The sequence below is a fragment of the Homo sapiens genome, chromosome 1, assembly GCF_000001405.40.
Source record: "Homo sapiens chromosome 1, GRCh38.p14 Primary Assembly".
NCBI classification, from domain to species: domain Eukaryota; kingdom Metazoa; phylum Chordata; class Mammalia; order Primates; family Hominidae; genus Homo; species Homo sapiens.
In genome coordinates, this window is record NC_000001.11 from 26,849,164 (window position 1) to 26,874,214 (window position 25,051).

Sequence of the window (25,051 nt, forward strand, 5' to 3'; positions counted from 1 at the left end):
CTTTGATCTGATTCCCAGAGTTGAGAGGGAAAAGCATCTAGCAACAGAGGCGTTTAAGCTGATGAGGTGCAGAGGATGTCACCACTGGAAATGGCTCCTGACCCTACAGCTGCCTGCAGTGGTTGTTTTGTCCCCTCTCCCTGCTCTCCAGAGGCTGTGTAGTTCTGATGGGCACCCTGAGAGGGTGTTGTAAGGGAAATAATGCATGAGAGGGCCCAGGTGAGCTGAGCCACAGTGACTGTGCATAGTTCCCAGGGCAGTGAGCTCATCATGCCAGCTCAGTACTCCCTAAGCAAGAGAACAGCAGGGAACACCCCCCCGTGACGGCATGCAGTGAAGGGGGTGACTCAGTGGGCACCATTCATCCCCAAGGAGCTGCCCCGCCCACGCCGTGCAAAGGGCACTGGCCTTGGCATGAGGCCTGCAATGGGCTTGTGACCCACATTCCCACAAGGACTTTCTTTACCAGTCTGGGTGTGCCTCCACCCCCGGGGACAGTGTGCAGGTGAGCTCAGCCCTTTGACCTGGCCTGTGATGCTGGCTGGCTGTGAACCCCATTGCAGCTCAGCCCCTCCCTGGGCCGCTAGTCCTAGAGCAGGAGACGGGTTGTTGACTGTTAGCATGTGGTTGGGATGGTAGACCAGGTGACAAGTATTTTTGTGAGTCTTTGTGCCGGCACTGCTCTGGATCCTGGGGAGTCAGCATGGTGTAAGACCAGCACAGCCCCCCTCGCCCATGGAGCTTACAGTCAAGTAGGGCTGATTGGCCAATCCAGTTATTATAAATAAGCATAAAAACACACATGGGCAGAGTGTGACAAAAGAGAAGTGATGGGGCAGATAACAGGGGCCCCCTCCCCTAGTCTGGGATTGGAAGAGACTTTCTTAAGGAGGTGGCTTTGCAGCTGAGACGCGAAGGAGAAGTTCCAGTTAACCAGGTAAAGAGACGAGAGAATGTATCAGGCAGTGGGAACTGGTACACAAAGGACCAGAGGCAGGTGTGTCCAAGGCCTGGGAGCCAGCTGGTGCTGCGAGAGTGAACGGGGTAGGAAAGCCCCAGCCATGGGTGAGGCCGCCAAATGCCTGTGCTGGCTGCAGGCCAGCCCACACTAACCCATCGCCCCTTGCCCTTGTCCAGAACGATTTGACCATCACTGCCCCTGGGTGGGCAACTGTGTGGGGAGACGGAACTATCGCTTCTTCTACGCGTTTATTCTCTCCCTCTCATTCCTGACGGCCTTCATCTTCGCCTGTGTGGTCACCCACCTGACGTTGCGTGAGTTGTGGGTGAGGGCAGTGGGGAGTGGAAGGGGTCAGCCAGCAAGCTCAAGGGTCAGCAAGCTTCAGCAGTCACTGTCCCTCTGAGCTTGTCCTCTCCTGTTTCTTTCTCCCCAGGCGCTCAGGGAAGCAACTTCCTCTCCACTCTGAAGGAGACACCAGCAAGATATCCTTTGTCAGCTAGAGGACACTCCAGTGGGAACTGAGGTCCCTTCACTGGGTGGGTGCCCTGCCTCATCCTCTAATCAGAAGGGAACAGCGTACAGCTCACATGTGTCCTCCAGAATCCAACATGCCAGCTCTTCTGTTCACACCCAGGCAAGAGCTGATCCTAAATGGGGCATTGTGGGGCCGGGGGTTCCTCGTCTTCAGGGGCCTGGAAAAGAGTATGTCCCTTAAGATGCCAAGCTCCCTGGACCGTGTCGTGCCCAAGGCTCTTTGTGATTGGAACCCTCAGTTTTCTCTGCCGTCCATCACCCTGACCTTGTCTGGCTCTTGAGTGGGGTCCTGACCCTTCCGAGGGGCCCAGGAGGTGATCCTGCTAAGAAGTGGGGACTGGGCCACAGGAAGGTTCCAAAACTTCTCAGCTCTCTGGGGAAACAGCTCCATGGAAGGATAGGTGAGACAGGCCAGGTGTGGCTGGGAGGCTCCCCACCCTCCACCCATTGAAGTCCTTAACTGCCCTCACCGTGCTGGAGTTGGTGATCTGCTTCTTCTCCATCTGGTCCATTCTGGGCCTCTCAGGGTTTCACACGTACCTCGTCGCCTCCAACCTGACTACTAATGAAGACGTGAGTAAACCTGGAGCCACCCCTCATTCTAGGGCAGCGCCCTCAGGAGGAGGCAGGGCTGAGGGAGCCTGGGGCAGCCAAGCACAGTCCTGACTCACGGACTGCTGGGATAATGCCTTTTAAGCAGCCAGATGCCTCCCAGTCATCTCAGCTTGGCCCTGGTGGGTCCGATGCAGGCTTCTGACACCTCCACATGCTTCATTCTCTCAGTGCAGGCTCCCAAGGTCCCAGGTTGCTTTTCTCCACAGCCCTGCAGGAGGCAGTACTCACACCACAGCACGCATGATGTTTGGCTGGCACATGACCGCTTACAGAATTCTTTCAGTTCCCGTCATTTCTTTGGGTCCTTTTGCCAAGCCTGAGGCAGAAAGGACAGGGATGTTTTTTCCCCATTCGATGACTGAGAGACATGTCCCATGTCTGAGAGGTCACACAGCTGGGAGGGGACAGAGCCAAGGTTGGTGCCCAGTCACAGGTATGCGCTCCCTCTTCCACACTGCCCCTGTCAGCAGCAAAGCCGTGACTATTCTCAAGGTGGCACTGGCCTGTCCTGGCTGCCCCTCTCAATATGCACGCCTGGGGGAGACAGGGCACAGGCCAGTGGGCTCCATTGACCTTCCCTGCCTGCCACCCTGCAGACTGCCATCAACAAGCATGTTTGATGTGCCCAGTCCTAGGCCAGACCTGACTTCTCCTCCCCATCCTCCAAACACTAAAAAGTAAATGAGAGCATCTGTTTCAGGGCCCACCATCTGATACTTACCAGCAACCCATCCTCCAACAGAAAATACATTCCCAGACCTCATCCTCTCATTCAGGGAAACAAAACTTCACACATGACAGGGCGTTGTGTGCCTGGTGATCAGTGAGAACAGAAATGCCATCAGCCAGTATCTCCCGCAGTAGCTTCTTGGGTGCCAGTTCTGCAGCACATTACCAGAGGTTAAAGAGAAAGGAGTGTGTGGCCAAATAAGTGTAGAAAACTCTAGGTTAAAGTCAAGGTATTCTTTATTGCTAAACTCTCCAGTGCCTTCCATAGCTGACTTCACAGAGCTAGAGAATCTGGCAAGAATTAATCTAATGCCCTAGCAATGTCATCTGAGAATTAGTATTATTTTCCCTGTTTTCCAAATGAGGACTCAGGCTCAGCGAAGTGGTGATCTGTCCAGGTAACGTAGCCAGTGAGTAGCAGGGCCGGGGCTCACAGGCAGGTCAGCCCTCACCCTGTGCCCCTGCGCTACCCTCCTTCAGAAGTGGCTGGCCGGAGAAGGGAGGAGTCATCCGAAACGTTTCCTCTGGATGCTTCTCTTGGGCTCTGCTCTGTCATCTCCTCTTTGGGGCCTCCTGATCTCTGCCAGGGGTCCCCCACATTCTCATTGAATGGCCCACATGAAAGACATGTCGCCTTCTGTAACCAGAATTGGTTTCGGAATTGTCCAGTTGTCCCCAGCCTCTAGACCTGCCTCCTAGAAAAGTGAAGCAAAAGGAGGTACTTGACCTAGGCCTCCTTCCTGCTTGCAGATCAAAGGCTCGTGGTCCAGCAAGAGGGGCGGTGAGGCCTCTGTCAACCCCTACAGCCATAAAAGTATTATCACCAACTGCTGTGCTGTGCTCTGTGGCCCCCTACCTCCCAGGTAAGTGAGCGGGGTGCGGAAGAGGGGTAACAGGGCCATGCCTGGCCAGTGATCAAAGTGTTCCTGGATATCAGCCGACCTCCCCCTACACCCTAGATGCCCTCCGTCCACTACCCCCTGGAGGGCATTTGTCATGTGACGGAATTCCATGGAGAATTGTTATTTAATCACGTGCTCATTGTAGAAAAAAAAAATTAAGTACAAAACGTAAAACAGAGGAGCATTGGATATGACATGTAATTCTACTCCCCGGGGGTAGCCACCATGACTGTTTCAGCCATGTTTGAATGACACTGCCCTTCCGGTTGCCCACTGCCTGGACTGGGTGGCGACTCCATCCTCTCCTGGCAGTAGGAACCCTGGGGACTCAGCCCTGCTGGGTCACTCCCTGTTCATCCTGACACCAGGGGGCACCAGAGTTCCAGAACGGGGATTACATTGCTGTGGGTACTGCTAAGACAAGTCATTCCCACACAGTCATGTCACCTACCCCACCCAGTATCCCTGTCACCCAGCCTGCCTAGAGGGGAAGGGAACATAGGAATTTCATAGTCATCAAATACCTATTCATCCTTGCTTTCCTCCCTCACCTGCAGCCTGGCTTCTTGGCAGCCAGACAGGTGGGCCAGTTGGAATTAATAGTGAATAAATTCTGTGGCCAAAAGCCAGGTGGCCAGAGGGCAGAGAGAGGCCTGCCAGAGGTAAGAGTCTTGGGCCCCCAGATGGGCAGCAGCTCTCCTTTCCTCAGCCTTTCTCAGCCTGGGCCTTTCCTTGGCTGAGATAGACTCTGCCGTCCAACCCCTGGCCTAGAGCCTCAGTGTTGGGCAGAGCCCTCATGTGTCTCCCTTGTGTTTTGGAAGCCTAATTGACCGGAGGGGATTTGTGCAGTCCGACACCGTGTTGCCCTCACCCATCAGAAGCGATGAGCCAGCCTGCAGAGCCAAGCCTGATGCCAGCATGGTAGGAGGCCACCCCTGACCACGGCTCAGTACTTGCCACCTGCTGGCCTGTCTGACCCTCCGCACTCACCTGCCGGGACCCTCCCTATTCCATCCAAGGGAAGCAGAACTGCCAAAGACTCAAGTCTTTTCATATTTATTTCCCATCCTGCGTGGCTTTCCCTGAACTGTTCCGTGGCTGTGCCCTCTGCTCCCCAAACCCAGGTTCCCACAGCCTTGGGCCCTAGGTACCCCAGCTGATCAGTGCCAGGAGAGACCAGAGCCTCTGGAGGCTACCCAGGGGACCACACCAAGTCCTTGCCTGTGCCGGGCGAGCCCTGTGTGAGTGAGGCTGTGAACTGAGCGTGAGGCCTCCCAGGTGGGGGAACTGCTTGGGCCTTGCTGAGCCAGGGTCCTCAGGGTGAAGCAGGACTGAGGAGTGGCCAGCTCTGGATAGCTGGCTGTGGAGAGGAAGCCTCCATGGGCTGCTTTGGTCTGTGGGCTCCTTCATTCCCTTGGTGATAATTTCCCTTTATTCTGTGGGATTTTTGGTGGGGTTTTCCCCCCTTTTTTATGGAGTTGGCCAATAGGATTGAGTTGGGGCTCCAGTAGAGAAGGCAGGGTTGGTGGTGGGTGGGGGCAGCCTGTATCAGACAAAGGTAAATCAGCCAGCCAGGCACCCACAGCCTCAGCTCCTGTGCAGTTCCTGGGCAGCACAGTGGAAGTGGGAGCCTGGTCCTTCCCCTGCCCATGGAGAGCTCTTTAAGGGATCCCAGCCTGCCCCTCCACTTCTCTCCCAAGCCAGGTCCCGGCATGGGTGGGTTATGCTCATGCTGGCAATACTTGAAACGGGTTTATTAATGCTGGGTATTTTGCACAATTTTATAGACCTCTTTTCTACATAGTCTTTTTTAAATGGAAGGAGAAAATGTCAGCCACATTACTGTCTGTGTAGTGCCAGGTGAAGGGTTATCAGAAGGCTGGTTGGTTTTAATAAGTTTATTCCAAGAGACCTTCTGGCTGGAATGAGTGAGAGTGTGTGTGCATGTGTGTGTGTGTTCATGTGTGCCCTGTATGAATGTGGCTGGCTCCCATATCCCCTGGGCTGCCCCCTGCCCCATCCCCTTTGAGTGTCAGAAGCACTCTGAGCCAAGGGGACAGGGGGCACGTGCACTGGTCACGAGAAAACCCTGGGCTCCCACTGGGGCTCAGCCCAGCCTCCTATCTTTCCTTCTTCTATGGACTTCAGACAGCCAGTGTCTGGGGACTCTGCCACTCTACCCCCAGCCCTACCCACCAGCCCCCAGGTGAGGCTTCCAGCTGGGACCTGCCCAGACAGGCTGAGCCTGGGCGTGGTGGGTGGGGTGATGGCTCTGGGGAGCGGCTGCCATCCTACAAGCCACACCCCCTCCTCTGAGCTCTGAATATGGGACCCAGTGCCAGGAGCTGGAAGACAAGGTGTTTCTGCCAAACGGGGACCTCCATCCAGAGAAAAGGAAGAAGGTGCAGGGTGGGCCAAGAGGCAAGTGAAGGTTGGCCTGAGTCTGGGCCGGAAACTCAGAGGATGTTTCTCCTCTGCTGGGAGCTGTAGTTTCTTATCAAAATAGATATTGTTCCACCATCCCCCTCCTTGGCCCTTCAAGTGGGCTGAAGCCCTTGGAAAGTGACATAGGAAGTCCCCAGATCTTGCCCTTCTCACTCCAGAGGCTAGTGGTCACAGACAGCTGGGAATGGCAGCCACAGAGGGTCCCCTCTGGGAGAAACAGCTTCACCCCAGCCTCAGGGCCCTGGGCCATCACTGCAGTGGCCCTGGGAGGTGAGGAAGAAGCTGGCTAGAGGAGGGGGCTCCCACCTACCTTTTATTTAAGCCAGTATTCTTTGTTCCTGCTTGTAATAAAACTTCAGTTTATAAGAGTTGCTTTGCTTTGGTTTGGTTTTTGTTTGCTTTTCCTTTGCTGAGGCCCCAACTGGGAGCCCTCTGTTCTTTCAGACAAATTTGGTTCTTTCCTGGGGAGACTGTGAGAAGGCAGGCAGCCCAGTGATCTGGCTACATTTTCCCTCACCTGGCTGGAGCTCTGTCCGCTGGAGGAAGAGCAGAGAGGGCTGCGGCTGAGCCCCCATGGGCACGTGAAAAGAGGCCATCCTGTCCCCTCTTTGTCCCCTCCACCTTCCCCTGCCTCAGGGGCTTGGAGACCCCCAAATTCTTCTTCCCTACTGCCTTTCCACTCCGATCCCCAATGAGTGCCCAGCTAAGAAAATGTTTGAGACAGTAGATTCCAGTTTGAGAGCCGGAGCTTCCCTGGCTACCACCTCCAACCTGGGCACCAGGGCCCAGCCAGACAACTCATAACACTGGCCCACCTCTCTGGTATCTCCCTCAGGAGGACACCTGTCAGGATTTTGCCATCTCCTGCACAGCCTGAGGGGAGCTAACAGGCCTCTTTGCAGAGGGTTAGCTGGTAAGACCGTTTCTTCCCTGTCGGCCAGCACTGCCCGCTCCCCTCACACACCATCTCATCCTCATCGCATGCCTCGCCAACCCCATGGAGCCCGTCCATCTGTCTGGTGTGTGGTGCGGTGTGTGTGCTGGTGGTGGTAGGGTCTCCAGGGACTCCCCGCTAAGCAGAAGGATCGGGATATAGGGCAAGGCTAAAAGCCCAGCCCCATTGTGGACTGAGGAAGTAGCTTCTCGCAGAGCAGCTCTCCAGCTGGAAGAGGAGGTGGAGGGTGAGGCTGGGGAGAGGATGGCGAACCTGCCCTGAGGTGCTTGGGTCTGTGCTGGTGGGGTCCTGGTATGCAGGGGCCACCGGTCACTAACACTCTTATGTCCTGGCTTTCTGTCCCCGCTGAGCTTTCTCTCACCCGCCCGTTTTCTCTCCTGCTTCATTGCCTGCTGCCTAAGCCTTGGCCCTTCTCTCGGGCAGAGGCAGGTGCTGTGGCAGCACCTCTCCCCACCACCGGGGCCCCTGCAGGCCGCCTCCCTCCTCCCAGGCCTGCTAACCCTCTCTCTTCTCCTTCTTTGCTGTCCTGCCGGGGATCTCCAGTGTGTGCGGGGGCTTAAGGACCTCCTGAGGACCGCTGCTCTCTGCCTCTCCAGGAATGGCCTGGGGGGAGCCAGGCACCCGGCACCTCCACCTGCCTAACCTGTGGCCCATCTGCCACCATCTGTGCCTACAGGGTCTGCCCCCCAGCCTGCCCGGCCTGTGTGCTCTCTAGGACCCCCATAGGGGGCAGGGGCTGGCCTCTTTGCCCCATTCCCGCTCCATGCCGGCCAGAGTGTAGAAAGCCATAACGCAGCCATCAGCACAATAATGTGACTCTACGCTGATATGCTCCCTCTCTCCTCCACTGACTTCCCCTTCCCGGATTTGTGAGGTGTCAAGACTAGGAATCTGGCCTTAGAGCCTGCCCCTCCACCCCCTCAGATCAGGCATAGCCATAGTCAAGCCCAGCAGGTTTCCTCAGGAGCTGTCTGGGGTGTTGATGGTGGATGACGCTGCTGAACAAGTTTGGTGACTGTTCTAAGCACAACTGGCTTGATACTGTTCCCACGGCCTGTCCACCTCCCACCCCCAACCCTCCACCAGAGTAGGTAGGATGTAGGGAGGGTGCGTGCCTCCTTTGCTCTAGGCACTGAGGGACCAAGCTAGCCGTGCACAGCCCCATACACTTCAGGGGACTAAAGGAAAGAGCTGAGCCAAGGAAAATCAGCTGAGCCCAGGGCTGGGGGCTGCTTGTCTGCTATCCTGTACCTTTTTTTTTTTTAACCAAAATAAAGATTCCCCTCTTCTTGCCATACCATTGGCTGTCTGGTGGCGCCTTTACTTTGGGGCCCAGGGATGGGACCTGCAGTGGGCGTGTGGAACATATGGCTCCCCCTCGCTCCCAGCTTTCTTCCAGCTGGCCAGTGCTGCTCTGGAGATTTACAAGCACAACGAAGCCAGGAGGGACACAGGAAAAGTGGCTGACATCCTTTTCACTCTGCCCCTCCAGAACTCTTGGTCTCAATTCCAGACACCACCCAGCCTTAGCTGACCTCTGGATTCTGATAGGTCCCAGTGCAGGCTGAGACAGAGGGTTTAACTCCAGTTTGGGACTGCCATACCCATGAACTGAGCCCAGCCCAGGGTAACGATCTCATGGAAACTTCTCTCTCCCCAGTTGCTGCACTACATCAAGATACACACATGTGCATACACTGTACTATGGGCTAAAAAAATAGCTACCGCTACCGTTCAGCAAGGGCTTGCCGAGTCCCGGGCCCATTTTCTCATCTTAACCTGTGAGGAGGATGATGTCAGCCTTTTTACAGATGAGGGAACTGAGACTCAAGGAAGAAACAGGAGCTGCCCAAGGTCACCCAGCTGGCAAAGCAGCAAATCCCAGATCGGAACCTGATCTCTGCCCCGAGCTCTGAGCCATCTGCACTACCCAAGGAATGAATACAGCGGTGGGAGGATGAGATCTTGGAGAAACCCTAAAATTAGAGAATGTCATAGCCAGTAGAGGGCTTAGAGTTGATCTGGGCCAGCCTCCTTGTTTTACTGATGGAGAAATTGAAGCCCAGAGGCAGGAAGGGACCTGCCCAAGGCCTTATAACAGAGCTGGGATGCAGTCCCACACTCTGACCTCATTCCATTCTCTCTCCATAAATTCTGCACTGTCTCTAGACTGGACTGGTTTAGATGTGGGATACTCTAAACAGCAGTGCCTTCAAGAGAAAAAGAATCAGAACTACGAATCACTTAAAAGTAATGTAAGCTACTCTGGGCACACTGCCTATGGGGTCGCCCTGCTCCACAAGGAGCCACAAAAATAATTAAAATAATTTAATATCCCTTCCCAAAGGTAACCAGTAAAGTAAGCTCTTGGCTAGGTAACTGGACTCTTGTTCACAACTAGCCAGTGGGAAAAGGTGCTAGAGCTTCCTCTGGCCACCTGTTTAATTTGATCATTCCAAGACAGAAACATTTCTTAGGAAGTTCTTTCTAGAATCTACCTGGTGTCCCTCCCACTGCTATCAGAGCCCTGTCCTCTGTCCTCAGTGGAGGTAGAGAGCAAATGGTTGCTGCTTTCTTCATCACAACCCTTCAAAGCCTATTATTACCAGCTAAGAAGGATTGGTTGACTATGGGGCCAGAGCCCCTGAGCCTGCTGGTAGAATGGATGCTGTACAGGAGGGTGGGGAGGTAGCAGGCAGAATGAGGAAAGCCCCTTTGAGCTGCAACCCCAGCTCCTGTCCTGCTGACTCAGACAGCTGACTGTGGAGCTCCATGCCCTGCCAGGGCCTGCTGCCTCCTGCCCGTCTGAGCTCCTGAACTTGGGAAATGGAGGCCCAGAGGCAAAGGGAGGTACCTGAGACAGGAACTGAGTCAGGATCAACAGGCCAGAGCGGGCAGGAGGTATCAGGCAGCCTGGCTCCCAGATGCACCCCTGAGCTCCAGCAGGGGAGGAGTAGGAATGAAGGGGCTTCCTTGCCCTTGCTCATGGCTATGCGGAGGGCGTGAACCACCACCAGGTCCTCTGGCTTAAGTGGCGGGAAGCAAATGGTCCCTCCCTGGACTCAGGCTCCAAAGTTCCTGGGCCTGCCTTCCAGGTTCCCAGTGTCCTGGGATCTCCAGCTTTCCCCAGGACTTGGGGAAGCCCCGGCTGGATGACTAGTACAAATGAAGGCCCCTGAGGTTCCAGGACCTGCTGAGGTCACAGGAATATCCTAGATCAAGCTTGTCCAACCCACGGCCCACAGGCTGCATGTGGCCCAGAATGGCTTTGAATGCAGCCCAACACAAATTAGTAAACTTTCTTAAAACATTATGAGATTTTTTTGCAAATTTTTTTTTTTTTTTAGCTCATCAGTTATTGGTAGTGTTGGTATATTTTATGTGTGGCCCAAGACAATTCTTCCAATGTGGCCCAGGGAAGCCAAAAGATTGGACACGCCTGTCCTAGATGGAGAGGAAGGAGGCAGTGCTGAGCACATCTGGCCATTCATCCATCTGGAGAGAGAAGGCTATGGGCAAACTGCTTCCTCTCCCCTGTAGACACCCAGCTGGGAAGGTCTGGCCTTTGGCTAAGTCCTGGCTTGGGGTCCTTCCTCATTTCACAGAACCTAACTCTATGTTAGTGCTTTGTGAGTATATGTTGATCATAATAAAGTTGACGGGATTTTTTCACATGATAATAATAGTTGTCATCTGGCCGGGCATGGTGGCTTATGCCTATAATTTCAGCACTTTGGAAGGCTGAGGCAGGTGGATCACTTGAGGTCAGCTGTTCGAGACCAGCCTGGCCAACATGGTGAAACCACATCTCTACTTAAAAAAAAAAAAAATACAAAAATTAGCTGGGTGTGGTGGTGCACCCTTGTAATCCCAGCTACTCGGGAGGCTGAGGCAGGAGAATCACTTGAACCCAGGAGGTGGAGGTTGCAGTGAGCTGAGATTGTGCCACTACACTCCAGCCTGGGTGACAAGAGCGAAACTCCGTCTCAAAAAAAAGAAAATAATAATAATAATAGTTGCCATCCATTCTACTGTGCTTTCCATTAACTCGTGTAATCCTCACAAGTCCCATTTTATAGTTACAGGAACTGAGGCTCACAGAGCTTAAATCACTTGGCCAAGGCCACAAACAGCTATAAGAATTACATTTAGGCAGTCTGATTCCAAAGATACTAGTCTATTCTGTATCTCATAGACAAACAATACATATTCACTTTTTTGTTGTTGTTTTGTTTTGAGACGGAGTCTTGCTCTGTCACCCAGGCTGGAGTGCAGTGGCGCCATCTCGGCTCACTGCAAGCTCCGCCTCCCGGGTTCAAGCGATTCTCCTGCCTCAGCCTCCCGAGTAGCTGGGACTACAGGCATGTGCCACCATGCCCGGCTAATTTTTTGTATTTTTAGTAGAGACAGGGTTTTCCTGGGTTAGCCAGAATGGTCTCGATCTCCTGACCTTGTGATCCACCCACCTCAGCCTCCCAAAGTGCTGAGATGACAGGCGTGAGCCACCGCGTCCGACCTATATTCACTATTTATAAATTGGAGAGAATAAGAAAATCAAAAGGGCCAGGTGTAGTGACTCACACCTGTAATCCCAGCACTTTGGGAAGCCAAGGCAGGAGGATTGCTTGAACCCAGAAGTTCGAGACCAGCCTGGGCAACATGGTGAGACCCTGTCTCTACAAAAAAATACAAAAATTAGCTGGGCGTTGTGGTGAGCACCTTATTCTTAGGAAGCTGAGGCAGGAGGATCACCTGAGGCCAAGGAGGTTGAGACTGCAGTGAGCTGTGATCATACCACTGTACTTCAGCCTGGACATCAGAGTAAGACCCTATCTCTAAAAAGGAAATTGAGAAGAAAGAAAATCAAAGGGAAGCAAAATCACTCACTCTCACTACCTCAAGATACCCTCTAGAAGTTGGTATTTTAGTGTGGTTCCTATTGTTTTCTGTGTCAGTTCTCTGATTTGAGCAAAATCTTTGGGACGTCAAACTTAAAATCCCCTTTACTTCCTTGGAAACCCTGTAGCATTAGCCCAGACATGTCCCTACTCCTCCTTGTGGCAAAGAGAAGGATCTCGTCTTTGGTCCCCAGAGTTCTGGCCTAAGCCTCCCTCCAGGAGGGAAGATGAGTGTTCAGACACTCAGAGTAGCTGGGGGAGACACAGGCCTGTGAAATTATCCTGGCTCAACTATTAGGTCGGCAGAATCCCAGTGAAGGGAGCCCTACCTCTGAGCCCCATCTAAGCTTTGGCTATGGGTGGGGCAGATAAGCAGGAATCCATCCCTATAGGCTCAATGCCAACACCCTTAGGTGAAACTCTTGATGAAACTTGAGGCCAGGGCTCCGGCAAGCAGGGAAAGAACGTTGGCAACAGAGGTCTCCATCTCTGAGGACTCTGCCAGGGGTCAGAGATGGGGCAATGGTCAAAAGGAAGGAACAGGCCAGGCACAGTGGCTCATGCCCATAATCCCAGCACTTTGGGAGGCTGAGGCAGGAGGATCGCTTGAGCCCAGGAGTTTGAGACCTGCCTGGGCAATGTAGTGAGATCTGCTCTCTATTTAAAAAAAAAAAAAAGGAAAGAACAAGTAAACTTCTGAGAAACAGGCTGGGGGAGGCATCACGTAGCTGGAATTGCTGCCCCATAAAACAGAATGGTATGTGTCACTGCCACCTCCCTTTCTCAGTCCTCTCTCTCCCCAGGTTGCTAGCGTCCCCCCTGGGGGATCAAACTGGACTGCTTCCCAGCCTCAGACAGAGAGCAGTCTGAGTCAGGCAGGAAAGTGGGACAGCCGGGGAGCTGGACCCCACCCTCTGTGAGCCCCGCTGGTACCTGATGGCATGTGGCTTGGAGAGGGCAGGTGACCTGGCGTGGAGGGCCAGAGGGTAAATCCTCAAACAAGTGGCAACAGGCCACCAACTTGAAAGGGAAAATTGTGTAGTGATGGGAAATGTGTCCAACAAACCTACTGGGTGACTAATTACAAAGGCTGGGCTGGAGCTTCAGAGGCTGCTTGTTAAACACTTCATTAAGCGGCACTCTGAAAGCTGCCACCTGCGCATTCTGGGAGCTCAGAGGGGACCCTGAGGGGGAATGAGGCCTGGAGGATGGAACCATCTTCAGGTAGACTGAGAAGGAGCCTGGATCTCACTTCCAAACACAGTCTGGAGCTCATAGGTCAGAGGCCTCAATGGGAGAAAAGCTAAAGGAAGAGGGTGCAGAAAGGAGTTTCAGGGAATTGGTGGCTATGTGACTTTGAGCAAATCTCACCCCTCTCTGAGACTTAGTGTTCCCATCTCTATGGTCCTGTGTGTGTCACAGAGACATGGTGGGGATTAAATTCGATCGTGAATATGAAAGTGCTTGGGAAACTCCATGGCCCTACCTAAACATGAGTTATCCTCACCTGAACCAAGGGGGGAAGTTACCTGGCAGGATTAGGAACCCCATCCTCCTGAACCTTTATGGGCTCTGTCGAGGCTGAAGCAGCCAGGGGCTAAAGCCGTCCTTAGCCCCTGGAAGGGCACTGTGAAAGTGGATCTGATTTGAGAAGCCGTTTCCTGATGTGGGCAGCCATGTGATGCCAGCCCCGAACAAGAGGGGGCAGCCTGGAGCCTGGAAAGGTGCCAGTGCAGGTGGGGCCCACGCCCAGATTTCTCCTGCTGACTGTTCTGATGATTCACCCCCACATCCCAGCCTTTTTACCTTTACTGCAGAGCCGGAAAGGGTGTGGGGAAGAGAGGAGAGGGAGGCAGGTCTTGGGCCCTGGTCCCGCCCCCTGCTCCTCCCCACCCTTCTCTGGGCCTGGCCACCCAGCCAAAAGGCAGGCCAAGAGCAGGAGAGACACAGAGTCCGGCATTGGTCCCAGGCAGCAGTTAGCCCGCCGCCCGCCTGTGTGTCCCCAGAGCCATGGAGAGAGCCAGTCTGATCCAGAAGGCCAAGCTGGCAGAGCAGGCCGAACGCTATGAGGACATGGCAGCCTTCATGAAAGGCGCCGTGGAGAAGGGCGAGGAGCTCTCCTGCGAAGAGCGAAACCTGCTCTCAGTAGCCTATAAGAACGTGGTGGGCGGCCAGAGGGCTGCCTGGAGGGTGCTGTCCAGTATTGAGCAGAAAAGCAACGAGGAGGGCTCGGAGGAGAAGGGGCCCGAGGTGCGTGAGTACCGGGAGAAGGTGGAGACTGAGCTCCAGGGCGTGTGCGACACCGTGCTGGGCCTGCTGGACAGCCACCTCATCAAGGAGGCCGGGGACGCCGAGAGCCGGGTCTTCTACCTGAAGATGAAGGGTGACTACTACCGCTACCTGGCCGAGGTGGCCACCGGTGACGACAAGAAGCGCATCATTGACTCAGCCCGGTCAGCCTACCAGGAGGCCATGGACATCAGCAAGAAGGAGATGCCGCCCACCAACCCCATCCGCCTGGGCCTGGCCCTGAACTTTTCCGTCTTCCACTACGAGATCGCCAACAGCCCCGAGGAGGCCATCTCTCTGGCCAAGACCACTTTCGACGAGGCCATGGCTGATCTGCACACCCTCAGCGAGGACTCCTACAAAGACAGCACCCTCATCATGCAGCTGCTGCGAGACAACCTGACACTGTGGACGGCCGACAACGCCGGGGAAGAGGGGGGCGAGGCTCCCCAGGAGCCCCAGAGCTGAGTGTTGCCCGCCACCGCCCCGCCCTGCCCCCTCCAGTCCCCCACCCTGCCGAGAGGACTAGTATGGGGTGGGAGGCCCCACCCTTCTCCCCTAGGCGCTGTTCTTGCTCCAAAGGGCTCCGTGGAGAGGGACTGGCAGAGCTGAGGCCACCTGGGGCTGGGGATCCCACTCTTCTTGCAGCTGTTGAGCGCACCTAACCACTGGTCATGCCCCCACCCCTGCTCTCCGCACCCGCTTCCTCCCGACCCCAGGACCAGGCTACTTCTCCCCTCCTCTTGCCTCCCTCCTGCCCCTGCTGCCTCTGATCGTAGGAATTGAGGAGTGTCCCGCCTTGTGGCTGAGAACTGGACAGTGGCAGGGGCTGGAGATGGGTGTGTGTGTGTGTGTGTGTGTGTGTGTGTGTGTGCGCGCGCGCCAGTGCAAGACCGAGATTGAGGGAAAGCATGTCTGCTGGGTGTGACCATGTTTCCTCTCAATAAAGTTCCCCTGTGACACTCCTCCTGTCTCTCTTCCAGTTCTTGGCGATGGGCTGGGAGTGGGACTGGAATCTGACTTAGAGACCCTGACTTTGGACCTCTGAGTTAGGGCCCTGAACTCCCTAGGTGGCTCAGTGGCCCGCACGCAAGACTTTGAGTCCAGGTGAGGCCGGGGTCCGGCTCTCTCCATCACGGCGGCCCCAGTCAAACTGGACGGGACCGGGAGGGTCGGGTGAACCCACAGGAGGCGCCGTGGCTCCTCTGCCGGGCTGAGGGGAGGTGAGTGGGAGCCACGGCGCGGGAGGCTGACGAGCTCTGGTGGAGCGGGGCAGGAAATAGTGAAGTCTCCGGCGTGAGATCTAAGGACAGCGCCGCAGTAGTGAGCGGCACTGAGCACCCGATTTGCAGGCGGGTCACAGTTTCATCAAGGGCTCAGATCTCAGCGGAGGGGAGTACGATCTGAGGAAGGGGTATAGCGCCGCCAAAAAAGCCTAGATCTTAGGAGAGGGTCACGTCCCACAGAGTTCGGAGATGGAGACAAAAGGAAACGGGCTGAAGGGGAGGAAGGACGAGCTGGGTGGGAAGGGCCGCTGGGAGCTGTGCCTACCGAGCCCGCTGCCTGAGCTCTCTGCAGCCAGCAACACGCCGGAACCTGCAGCCGCCTTGCTCCGTCCCGCCTTCGCAGCCCTGGACTGGAGGCGGGGCCCGAGGCCAATACCGCCCAATCACAGGAGGGAGCTGCCCCAGGGTACCGCCCCGGGGGCCTGACTGGCCAATGGGAAAGTGAGCGGCGGAACGCGCGCGGCGAGTTTCCCGCCGCCCGCCAGGCCTGGCGGACACCACGACTCGCTGACTGACTGAGAGGCGCCCCCGCCGCCCGCTGAGCGCCGAGGGGCGGAGCTTTCCCGGTTTCACTCAGACAAGTTGCCGCCCGTCCGGCCCGAGAGCTGGGAACCCTCTAGAGCAGCGGGACGAGCCAGGATCGCAAAATGCAGTGCTTGCCCGTTGAGTCATCAGCTCACCCGGCTGGGCCTGGGCCGGGCCGGCCGCGGGGGTTGGCTGGAAAAAGGCCGCCAAGATGCCCCCACCACACTCCGAAATCCAAGCAGCCCTGGACCTGTCGCCGAGAGGCTTGGATTGTGTCCCTGGCTGGCTGTGCGACCTTGGAAAAGCCGTTATACCTCCCTGGGCCTCAGTTTCCCTCTTGTATCATAAGGGGCTTGGACTAAAGGCTAACACAAGAGTGAAAATGGCGGTTTTGGCCGGGCGCGGTGGCTCACGCCTGTAATCCCAGCACTCTGGGAGGCCGAGGCGGGCGTATCACGAGGTCAGGAGATCGAGGCCATCCTGGCTATCACAATGAAACCCCGTCTCTACTAAAAATACAAAAAATTAGCCGGGAGTGATGGCGGGCACCTGTAGTACCAGCTACTCGGGAGGCTGAGGTAGGAGAATGGCATGAGCCCAGGAGGCGGAGCTTGCAGTGAGCCGAGATCACGCCACTGCACTCCAGCCTGGGCGACAGAGCGAGACTCGGTCCCCCCACCCAAGAAAAAGAGAAAATTTGCGATTTTGGACTCAGACAGCCTGGGTTTGACTCCCAGCCTGCCTTGGCCAAGGCTCTTAATCTTGCTTACCTTTGTGTCCTCATTTATAAACAGGGGAACTGAAAAACAGTACCTTCCTTTTATAGTTGCTGTAAAGTAACCCATAGGACAGACTCAACAAATGTTAGCTTTTTTTTTTTTTTTAAGACAGATTCTCGCTCTGTCGCCCAGGCTGGAGTTCAGTGGCACGATCTCGGCTCACTGCAACCTCCACCTCCCGGGTTCAAGCAATTCTCCTGCCTGAGCCTCCCAAGTAGCTGCGATTACAGGTGCATGCCACCAGCCTGGCTAGTTTTCTTATATTTTTAGTAGAGACGGGGTTTCACCATATTAACCAGGCTGGTCTCAATCTCCTGACCTCAGGTGATCCGCCTGCCTCGGCCTCCCAAAGTGCTGGGATTACAGGAGTGAGCCACTGCGCCAGGACTTTTTTTTTTTTTTTTTTTTTTTTGAGACAGGGTCTGGCTCTGTCACCCAGGTGCGACAGTGGCGTGATCTCAGCTCACAGCAAACTCGAGCTTCTGGTCTCAAGCGATCCTCCCACTTCAGCCTCCTAGTAGCTGGGACTACAGGGGCCTGCCACCACACCCAGCTAATTTTTTATTTTTTTTATTTTTATTTTTATTTTTATTTTTATTTTTTTTTGAGACGGAGTTTCGCTCTGTCGCCCAGGCTGGAGTGCAGTGGCGCGATCTCGACTCACTGCAAGCTCCGCCTCCCGGGTTCACGCCATTCTCCTGCCTCAGCCTCCCGTGTAGCTGGGACTACAGGCGCGCGCCACCATGCCCGGCTAATTTTTGTATTTTTAGTAGAGACGGGGTTTCACCGTGTTAGCCAGGATGGTCTCGATCTCCTGACCTCGTGATCCGCCCGTCTCGGCCTCCCAAAGTGCTGGGATTACAGGCGTGAGCCACCGCGCCCGGCCTATTTTGTTTATTTTTATATGGAGTCTCGCTCTGTTGCCCAGGCTGGAGTGCAGTGGTGCAATCTCGGCTCACTGCAACCTCTGCCTCCTGGGTTCAAGCGATTCTCCTGCCTCAGCCTCCTTAGTAGCTGGGATTACAGGCATGCACCAGCATGTCCAGCTAATTTTTTGTATTTTTAGTAGAGACGGGGGTTTCACCATGTTGGTCAGGCTGGTCTCGAACTCCTGACCTCGTGATCCACCCACCTTGGCCTCCCAAAGTGCTGGGATTACAGGCGTGAGCCACCACACCCGGCCTATTTTTTATTTATTTTTTATTTTTTATTTTTGAGACAGGGTCTGGCTCTGTCACCCCAGGCGTGACAGTGGCTTTTGGTCTCAAGCAATCCTCCCACCTCAGCCTCCTGGTAGCTGGGACTATAGGTGCCTGCCACCGCACCCAGCTAATTTTTTATTTTATTTTTAGTAGAGACAAGGTTTCACCATGTTGGCCAGACTGGTCTCAAACTCCTGGGCTCAAGCGATCCTCCTGCCTCAGCTTCCCAAAGTGCTAGGGTTACAGGCTTGTGCCACCTCACCCAGCCTCAAATGTCAGCTATTAACGAATCCTTCCAGCTTCAATAAGTCTAGGATTTGGCCAGCATTTTTATGCCTAAAGCAGAATCATGAGGCAGGCCCAGTCCTGAGGGGCAGCCTTATTGCCAAAGCTGACCTGCACGCCTGCTGAGCCCCCTGAGAATGCTGCCCTCACATCAGGTGGTCACTCTTCCACCTGGCAAGATGGAGAGAGCTAAGCCCAGGGTCCAAGCTTGGCCACACCAATAGGACTCAAAACTGAAGGGTTTTTGTCAGAACTCCTGCTTCTACAGGGGAAGCCGGCAGGACCACTCTGATGCCTTCTGGGTCCCCTGTTTTCTCCCTTCCTTTCCTAGAGGTGTGTCAGATTTCAAGGCTCCAAACCAGGGACTCTAGGCAGGGCAAGTAACTCCACTCAGATCTAGAGGTGACCTGATTTCTCTCACCAGACAGGTCTGGTGACTCTCTCTTAATGGGCTACATCCTGGGAAAGGAACTTCTTTCTTTTCTCTCAGCCTCTGACTTTTGTCTGTTAGCTCTGGACCACTCGTGGTTGTCCCATATGGGGAGAAGTGAGCTGCCCTAAGGTAGTGTGTCGGTGTAAGGATTTTAAACCAGATGCTGTGCATTGGAATATCTCTAAATCAGATGCTTACCAGGGCTAAATGTGAGCTGGCTTAGGCACCAGCTTCTTTTATTTTCTTTTCTCTCTCTCTCTCTCTCTCTCTCTCTCTCTCTCTCTCTCTCTCTCTCTCTCTCTCTCTCCCTCCTTTCTTCTTTTCTTTTCTCTTTTTTTTTTTTTTTTTGAGACAGGGTCTCACTTTGTCACCCAGGCTGGAGTGCAGTGCCACGATCTCGGCTCACTGCAGCCTTGACCTCCCAGGTTGAAGCTGACCTCCCAGGTTCAAGCTATCCTCCCACCTCAGCCCCTCAAGTAGCTGAGACTACAGGTGTGCACCACCACACCCAGCTAATTTTTGTAGAGACAGAATTTCACTATGTTGCCCAGGTGGGTCTTGAACGCCTCAGCTCAAGCAATCCACCCACCTCAGCCTCCCAAACTGCTGGGATTACAGGCGTGAGCCACCGCGTCCAGGCTCTTTTCATTTTTTAATGTTTAGTTTTTATGGGTACATAATAGTTGTACATATTAGGCACCAGGTTCTGACCACAAGGATCCCAAACCTTTTTGTCCATGACTTTTTTTTTAATCTCTTGGTGAACACTTCTTGCCAGCTTTTCCTGGCCTAGAATTGATATTTGAACAATTTCAAGGCCAGGCACAGTGGCTCATGCCTGTAATCTCAGCACTTTGGAGGGCGAGGCAGGCAGATCCCTTGAGGCCTGAAGTTCAAGGCCATCCTGGCAAATATGGCAAAACCCCGTCTCTACTAAAAATACAAAAATTAGCCAGGTGTGGCGGCATGCGCCTGTAGTCCCAGCTACTCAGGAGGCTGAGGCGGGAGAATCGTTTGAAAGTGGGAGGCAGAGGTTGCAGTGAGCCAAGATTGCGCCACTGCCACTGCAGCCTGGGTGACAGAGCGAGACTCTCTCTCAAAAAAAAAAAAAAAAAAAAAAAAGGCCGGGGGCAGTGGCTCACGCCTGTAATCCCAGCACTTTGGGAGGCCAAGGCGGGCGGATCACGAGGTCAGGAGATCGAGACCATCCTGGCGAACACTGTGAAACCCCGTCTCTACTAAAAATACAAAAAAATTAGCCAGGCGTGGTGGTGGGCACCTGTAGTCCCAGCTACTCGGGAGGCTGAGGCAGGAGAATGGCATGAACCCTGGGGGTGCGGAGCTTGCAGTGAGTGGAGATCCCACCACTGCACTCCAGCCTGGGCGACAGAGCGAGACTCCATCTCAAAAAAAACAAACAAACAAACAAACAAACAAACAAAAAAACGGTGGGTGCGGTGGCTCACAGCTGTAACTCCAGCACTTTGGGAAGCCGAGGCGGGTGGATCACCTGAGGTCAGGAGTTCGAGACCAGCCTGACCAACGTGGTGAAACCTCATCTCTACTAAAAATACAAAAAATTAGCCGGGCGTGGTGGCGGGAGCCTATAGTCCCAGCTACTCGTGAGGCTGAGGCAGGAGAATGGCGTGAACCCAGGAGGCGGAGCTTGCAGTGAGCCATGAGTGCGGCCACTGCACTCCAGCCTTGGTGACAGAGCGAGACTCTGTCTAAAAAAAAAAAAATTACTGTAGAGACAGGTTCTCGCTATGTTGTCCAGGTTGGTCTTGAACTCCTGGCCTCAGGTGATTCTCCAGCCTCAGCCTCCTAAAGTGTTGGGATTACAGGTGTGAGCTACTGCACCTGGCCAGAACTTGATTTAAAACTACCCTTCCAAATGCCTGGTAACCAGGATTAGTTCCAAATCATGATGGAAATGGAAATACAGCCGGTCCTGGGATGAGGAAGGGCTGTCCAGAGATTGGGCTCACACAGATTCAAGGGACCTCAGCCTTATCTTTTCTATATTGCCAGATTATCCCCCAGAAAATGGAGGCCCAGCTCTTGCAAATATCTTCTCCTCCCAAGAATTTGAATGGTATGGAGAAAATCTGCAACCTAAAATTACCGAGTGAAGATATCTACTCTTACCTCTGTTATGCATAGTTACTTCCAAATGGCTCTTAGAATCCACAGGAGTAGGTGATGGAGGCCAAGATTGCCTTCTCACAACCAGCCAGGCACCCTAGCAAGGCCAAGGCCACTGTGGCTCCTTCCAGAAAAAGCAAGGTACTCTTCCCTGCCTCCATCTCTCTCTCTCTCTCTCTCTCTCTGTCACACACACACACGTCCAGATGTCCAGAGGCTTGCATCAAGGCTTGCTCTTCTGACCGACAGTGTCCCATTTCTGCTTCTTGCTAGAGAACAGAGTATGGTAGCAGCAGCAGCAGGCATGATAAGTGTGTGTCAGGCAGTTTCATACCTTAATCCTCACAGTAATACATGTTATTACCTTTGTTTTGCAAATAAAAAGACTGAAGCTCAGAGCAGCTAAATAACCTAATAACCAAGGTTATACAACTACTCATGTGCTGGTGCTGGGGAGTGGAACAGGGTCTGACTCCAAGCCCCATGATTTTCTTTTTTTTGGAGACGGAGTCTTGCTCTGTCACCCAAGCTGAAGTGCAGTGAGACAATCTTGGCTCACTGCAACCTCTGCCTCCTGGGTTCAAGCAATTCTCCTGCCTCAGCCTCCCGAGTAGCTGGGACTACAGGCACATGCCATCACGCCCGGCTAATTTTTTGTATTTTAGTAGAGATGGGGTTTCACCGTGTTGCCCAGGCTGGTCTCAAACTCCTGAGCTCAGGCAACTCGCCTACCTCGGACTCCCAAAGTGCTAGGATTACAGGCGTGAGCCACCATGCCTGGCCCAAGTCCCATGATTTTTTTTTTTTTTTCAGACGGAGTCTCGCTCTGTTGCCCAGGCTGGAGTTCAGTGGCGCCATCTCGGCTCACTGCAACCTCTGCCTCCTGGGTTTAAGTGATTCTCCTGTCTCAGCCTCCCAAGTAGCTGGGATTACAGGTGCGTGACACCACACCCAGCTAATTTTTTTTTTTTAGAGACAGGGTTTCACCATATTGATCAGGCTGGTCTCAACCTACTGACGTCAGGTGATCCGCCTGCCTCAGCCTCCCAAAGTGCTGCGATTACAGGCATGAGACCGCGCCCAGCCATTCCCATGTTTTTTAAACTACAATAGCTGTTTTCAAACTGTGTTCAGGTGGTTTCCCAGAAGCTGCCATGGGGCAGGAGCCGAGTGGTCAGTTTCCCGTTTCTGTATACTTTGGCCAAAACAGCCACACATATGTCAGTTTCGTATATTAGAGTTTCACCAGTTAAAAAGTATCTACATTTGGCCAGGTGCTGTGGCTCACACCTGTAATCCCAACACTTTGGGGGCCGAGGTATGTGGATCACCTGAAGTCAGGAGTTCGAGACCAGCCTGGCCAACATGGTGAAACTCCATCTTTACTAAAAAATTCAAAAAATGGCGGCCGGGCGCAGTGGCTCACACCTGCAATCCCAGCTACTTGGGAGGCTGAGGCAGGAGAATCACCTGAACCCAGGAGGCGGAGGTTGTAGTGAGCCGAGATTGTGCCATTGCACTCCAGTCTGAGCAACGAGAGCAAAACTCCGTGTAAAAAAAAAATAATAATACAAAAAATTAGCTGAGTGTGATGGTGGGCACCTGTAATCCCAGCTACTCGGGAGGCTGAGGCAGGAGAGTCGCTTGAACCCGAGAGGCAGAGGTTGCAGTGAGCCGAGATTGCACCATTGCACTCCAGCCTGGGCAACAAGAGCAAGACTCTGTCTCAAAACAAAACAAAACAAACAAAAAAGCCCAAACTAACTACATTATGTTATGGTGCCCTGCTCCTATCTTAGACTTTCTAAGAATCAAGAAAGCCTTCTTCTGGCTGGGTGTGGTGGCTCACGCCTGTAATCCCAGCACTTTGGGAGGCTGAGGCGGGCAGATCACTTAAGGTTAGGAGTTCGAGACTAGCATGGCCAACATGGTGAAATCCCATCTCTACTAAAAATACAAAAATTAGCTAGGCATGGTGGCATGCACCTGTAGTGCCAGCTACTTGGGAAGCTGAGGCAGGAGAATCTCTTGAACCAGAAGGCAGAGGTTGCAGTGAGCTGAGATTGCACCACTGTACTCCAGCCTGGGCAACAGAGCAAGACTCTTGTCTCCAAAAAATAAATAAAATTAAAAGAAAGCCGCCTTGCTCTCCTGTCAATCTAATTCCACCCTAGTCTCTGGCAGAAAATAATTGTCTTAAATGAGAAGACTGTGAACTGGACCAATTTCCAGGCTCATTCACCAAGTTTAGGTTCTCTTAACCTGATTCCACTCTTAGTTCCTTTAAATTCTTCACCCTCTTCACAGGGTCCACCTCATCCCTGCTGTGTGGGGAGTGGAAAAGGCAGGTTTCTACAAGGAAGGTCCCCCTCCTCTCAGAATCCCCCTAGTCCCACCTACCCACTGAGTCAGGAGCCAGGAATGTCTGTGGGGGCAGCAGACAGGTATGTCACCCTGGGGGTGTCAGAGGCTGATTCATCTCTCATCTCCACCCAATCTTCTCCTTACAGCTCTCTGGGAAATTTAACCCTTTGTCTAGAAATAAAAGAGTAAGGGCCCGGCGTGGTGGCTCACGCCTGTAATCCCAGCACTTTGGGAGGCCGAGGTGGGCAGATCACGAGGTCAGGAGATCGAGACCATCCTGGTCAACATGGTGAAACCCTGTCTCTACTAAAAATACAAAAAAAAATTAGCTGGGTGTGGTGGCGGGCGCCTGTAGTCTCAGCTACTCGGGAGGCTGAGGCAGGAGAACGGCATGAACCTGGGAGACGGAGCTTGCAGTGAGCCGAGATCTCGCCACTGCACTACTCCAGCCTGGGCGACAGAGCAAGACTCTGTCTTGGAAAAAAAAAAAGAAATAAAAGAGTAAAATCCAGGACTCTGGGCTGGGCACAGTGGCTCACGCCTGTAATCCCAGCACTTTGGGAGGCCGAGGCAGGTGGATCATGAGGTCAGGAGTTCAAGAACAACCTGGCCAAGATGGTGAAACCTGGTCTCTACTAAAAATACAAAAATTTGCCAGGTGTGGTGGCAGGTGCCTGTAATCCCAGCTACTAGGGAGGCTGAGGCAGGAGAATTGCTTGAATCTGGGAGGCAGAGGTTGCAGTGAGCTGAGATAGATAGCATCACAGCACTCCAGCCTGGGTGACACAGCACAACTTGGCCTAAAAAAAAAAAAAAAAAATCCAGGACTCGAAAAGCATCATGTCTTCAAATCGGTGGGGCTAGATACAGCATTGAATACATATTATGGTATTAAAGAAATATTTGTTGAAAGAAGGAAGGCAGGGAGACATTCTCTCCCTTTTCTCCTCTAGAGTAAAGCTAATCTGAGATTTCCTTGTCTGACTGTAGAGAGGAATGACTTTTAGCTCAAAAAAAATTATGTGAAACTTTCATCTCAAAAAAGATTATGTGACCAGGTGAGGTGGCTCATGCCTGTAATCCCAGCACTTTGGGAGGCCAAGGCAGGCAGATTGCTGGAGCCCAGGAATTGGAGACTAGCCTGGGCAACATAGTGAGACCCCGTCTCTACTAAAAAGAAATTATGTGACCTCTGAGATTACTGAGATTATATGATTTATGAGTTGAGGGAAATCTTTTTTTTTTTTTTTTTTTTTTTTTTTTTTTTTTGAGACGGAGTCTCACTCTGTCACCCAGGCCGGACTGTGGACTGCAGTGGCGCAATCTCGGCTCACTGCAAGCTCCGCTTCCCGGGTTCACGCCATTCTCCTGCCTCAGCCTCCCGAGTAGCTGGGACTACAGGCGCCCGCCACCGCGCCCGGCTAATTTTTTGTATTTTTTAGTAGAGACGGGGTTTCACCTTGTTAGCCAGGATGGTCTCGATCTCCTGACCTCATGATCCACCCGCCTCGGCCTCCCAAAGTGCTGGGATTACAGGCGTGAGCCACCGCGCCCGGCCAAGGGAAATCTTAACCCATGTCCCAGTCTCCGTTCTTTGCTGTTTCTGTGACTCCACAATGTGGAGGCTCCAGGATTAAATATAGGAAGAACTTGGAGGTGACAATTCAGTGCAAAGGGAGGCACTAGGGGACATTCCTGGAAGCT

The 25,051-nt window shown here is 53.5% G+C and overlaps 2 protein-coding genes across 2 annotated transcripts in view, besides 10 other annotated features; both read left to right on the plus strand.

Moving 5' to 3' along the window:
• Nucleotides 1–8,441, plus strand: part of ZDHHC18 (zDHHC palmitoyltransferase 18) — a 30,917-nt gene extending 22,476 nt beyond the window's left edge. Inside the window, exons 4-8 of the mRNA NM_032283.3 lie at nt 1,138–1,275; nt 1,395–1,443; nt 1,966–2,068; nt 3,590–3,702; nt 4,563–8,441. Of these exons, the coding sequence (NP_115659.1) occupies nt 1,138–1,275; nt 1,395–1,443; nt 1,966–2,068; nt 3,590–3,702; nt 4,563–4,680 (521 nt within the window). The 3' untranslated portion in view covers nt 4,681–8,441. The remainder of the gene's footprint in view (nt 1–1,137; nt 1,276–1,394; nt 1,444–1,965; nt 2,069–3,589; nt 3,703–4,562) is intronic.
• Nucleotides 4,069–4,570: an enhancer, noted in NCBI's record as "H3K27ac hESC enhancer chr1:27179723-27180224 (GRCh37/hg19 assembly coordinates)". NCBI's record gives its function as "activates a minimal SCP1, AML or CMV promoter by ChIP-STARR-seq in naive H9 embryonic stem cells {active_cell/tissue: H9 hESC(naive)}" and the evidence as "EXISTENCE:reporter gene assay evidence [ECO:0000049][PMID:30033119]".
• Nucleotides 4,185–4,244: a silencer, noted in NCBI's record as "silent region_494". NCBI's record gives its function as "represses an Ori minimal core promoter by ATAC-STARR-seq in GM12878 lymphoblastoid cells {active_cell/tissue: GM12878}" and the evidence as "EXISTENCE:reporter gene assay evidence [ECO:0000049][PMID:35858748]".
• Nucleotides 5,817–5,989: a silencer, noted in NCBI's record as "fragment chr1:27181471-27181643 (GRCh37/hg19 assembly coordinates)". NCBI's record gives its function as "represses an EF-1alpha promoter that drives an FKBP-Casp9 reporter gene in an ReSE screen in K562 erythroleukemia cells {active_cell/tissue: K562}" and the evidence as "EXISTENCE:reporter gene assay evidence [ECO:0000049][PMID:32094911]".
• Nucleotides 13,652–13,801: a silencer, noted in NCBI's record as "silent region_495". NCBI's record gives its function as "represses an Ori minimal core promoter by ATAC-STARR-seq in GM12878 lymphoblastoid cells {active_cell/tissue: GM12878}" and the evidence as "EXISTENCE:reporter gene assay evidence [ECO:0000049][PMID:35858748]".
• Nucleotides 13,652–14,550: a biological region, named in NCBI's record as "H3K4me1 hESC enhancer GRCh37_chr1:27189325-27190204".
• Nucleotides 13,671–14,550: an enhancer, noted in NCBI's record as "H3K4me1 hESC enhancer chr1:27189325-27190204 (GRCh37/hg19 assembly coordinates)". NCBI's record gives its function as "activates a minimal SCP1, AML or CMV promoter by ChIP-STARR-seq in primed H9 embryonic stem cells {active_cell/tissue: H9 hESC(primed)}" and the evidence as "EXISTENCE:reporter gene assay evidence [ECO:0000049][PMID:30033119]".
• On the plus strand, nt 13,986–15,293 carry SFN (stratifin). The gene has a single exon (NM_006142.5). The coding sequence runs from the start codon at nt 14,050–14,052 to the stop codon at nt 14,794–14,796; it is 747 nt and encodes a 248-aa protein (NP_006133.1). The 5' UTR covers nt 13,986–14,049; the 3' UTR covers nt 14,797–15,293.
• Nucleotides 15,695–15,824: an enhancer, noted in NCBI's record as "active region_526". NCBI's record gives its function as "activates an Ori minimal core promoter by ATAC-STARR-seq in GM12878 lymphoblastoid cells {active_cell/tissue: GM12878}" and the evidence as "EXISTENCE:reporter gene assay evidence [ECO:0000049][PMID:35858748]".
• Nucleotides 16,035–16,344: an enhancer, noted in NCBI's record as "active region_527". NCBI's record gives its function as "activates an Ori minimal core promoter by ATAC-STARR-seq in GM12878 lymphoblastoid cells {active_cell/tissue: GM12878}" and the evidence as "EXISTENCE:reporter gene assay evidence [ECO:0000049][PMID:35858748]".
• Nucleotides 20,032–20,190: a silencer, noted in NCBI's record as "fragment chr1:27195686-27195844 (GRCh37/hg19 assembly coordinates)". NCBI's record gives its function as "represses an EF-1alpha promoter that drives an FKBP-Casp9 reporter gene in an ReSE screen in HepG2 liver carcinoma cells {active_cell/tissue: HepG2}" and the evidence as "EXISTENCE:reporter gene assay evidence [ECO:0000049][PMID:32094911]".
• Nucleotides 22,685–23,884: an enhancer, noted in NCBI's record as "P300/CBP strongly-dependent group 1 enhancer chr1:27198339-27199538 (GRCh37/hg19 assembly coordinates)". NCBI's record gives its function as "activates an origin of replication core promoter dependent on BRD2, BRD4, P300/CBP, MED14 and CDK7 cofactors, with strong dependence on P300/CBP, by STARR-seq in HCT116 cells {active_cell/tissue: HCT116}" and the evidence as "EXISTENCE:reporter gene assay evidence [ECO:0000049][PMID:35650434]".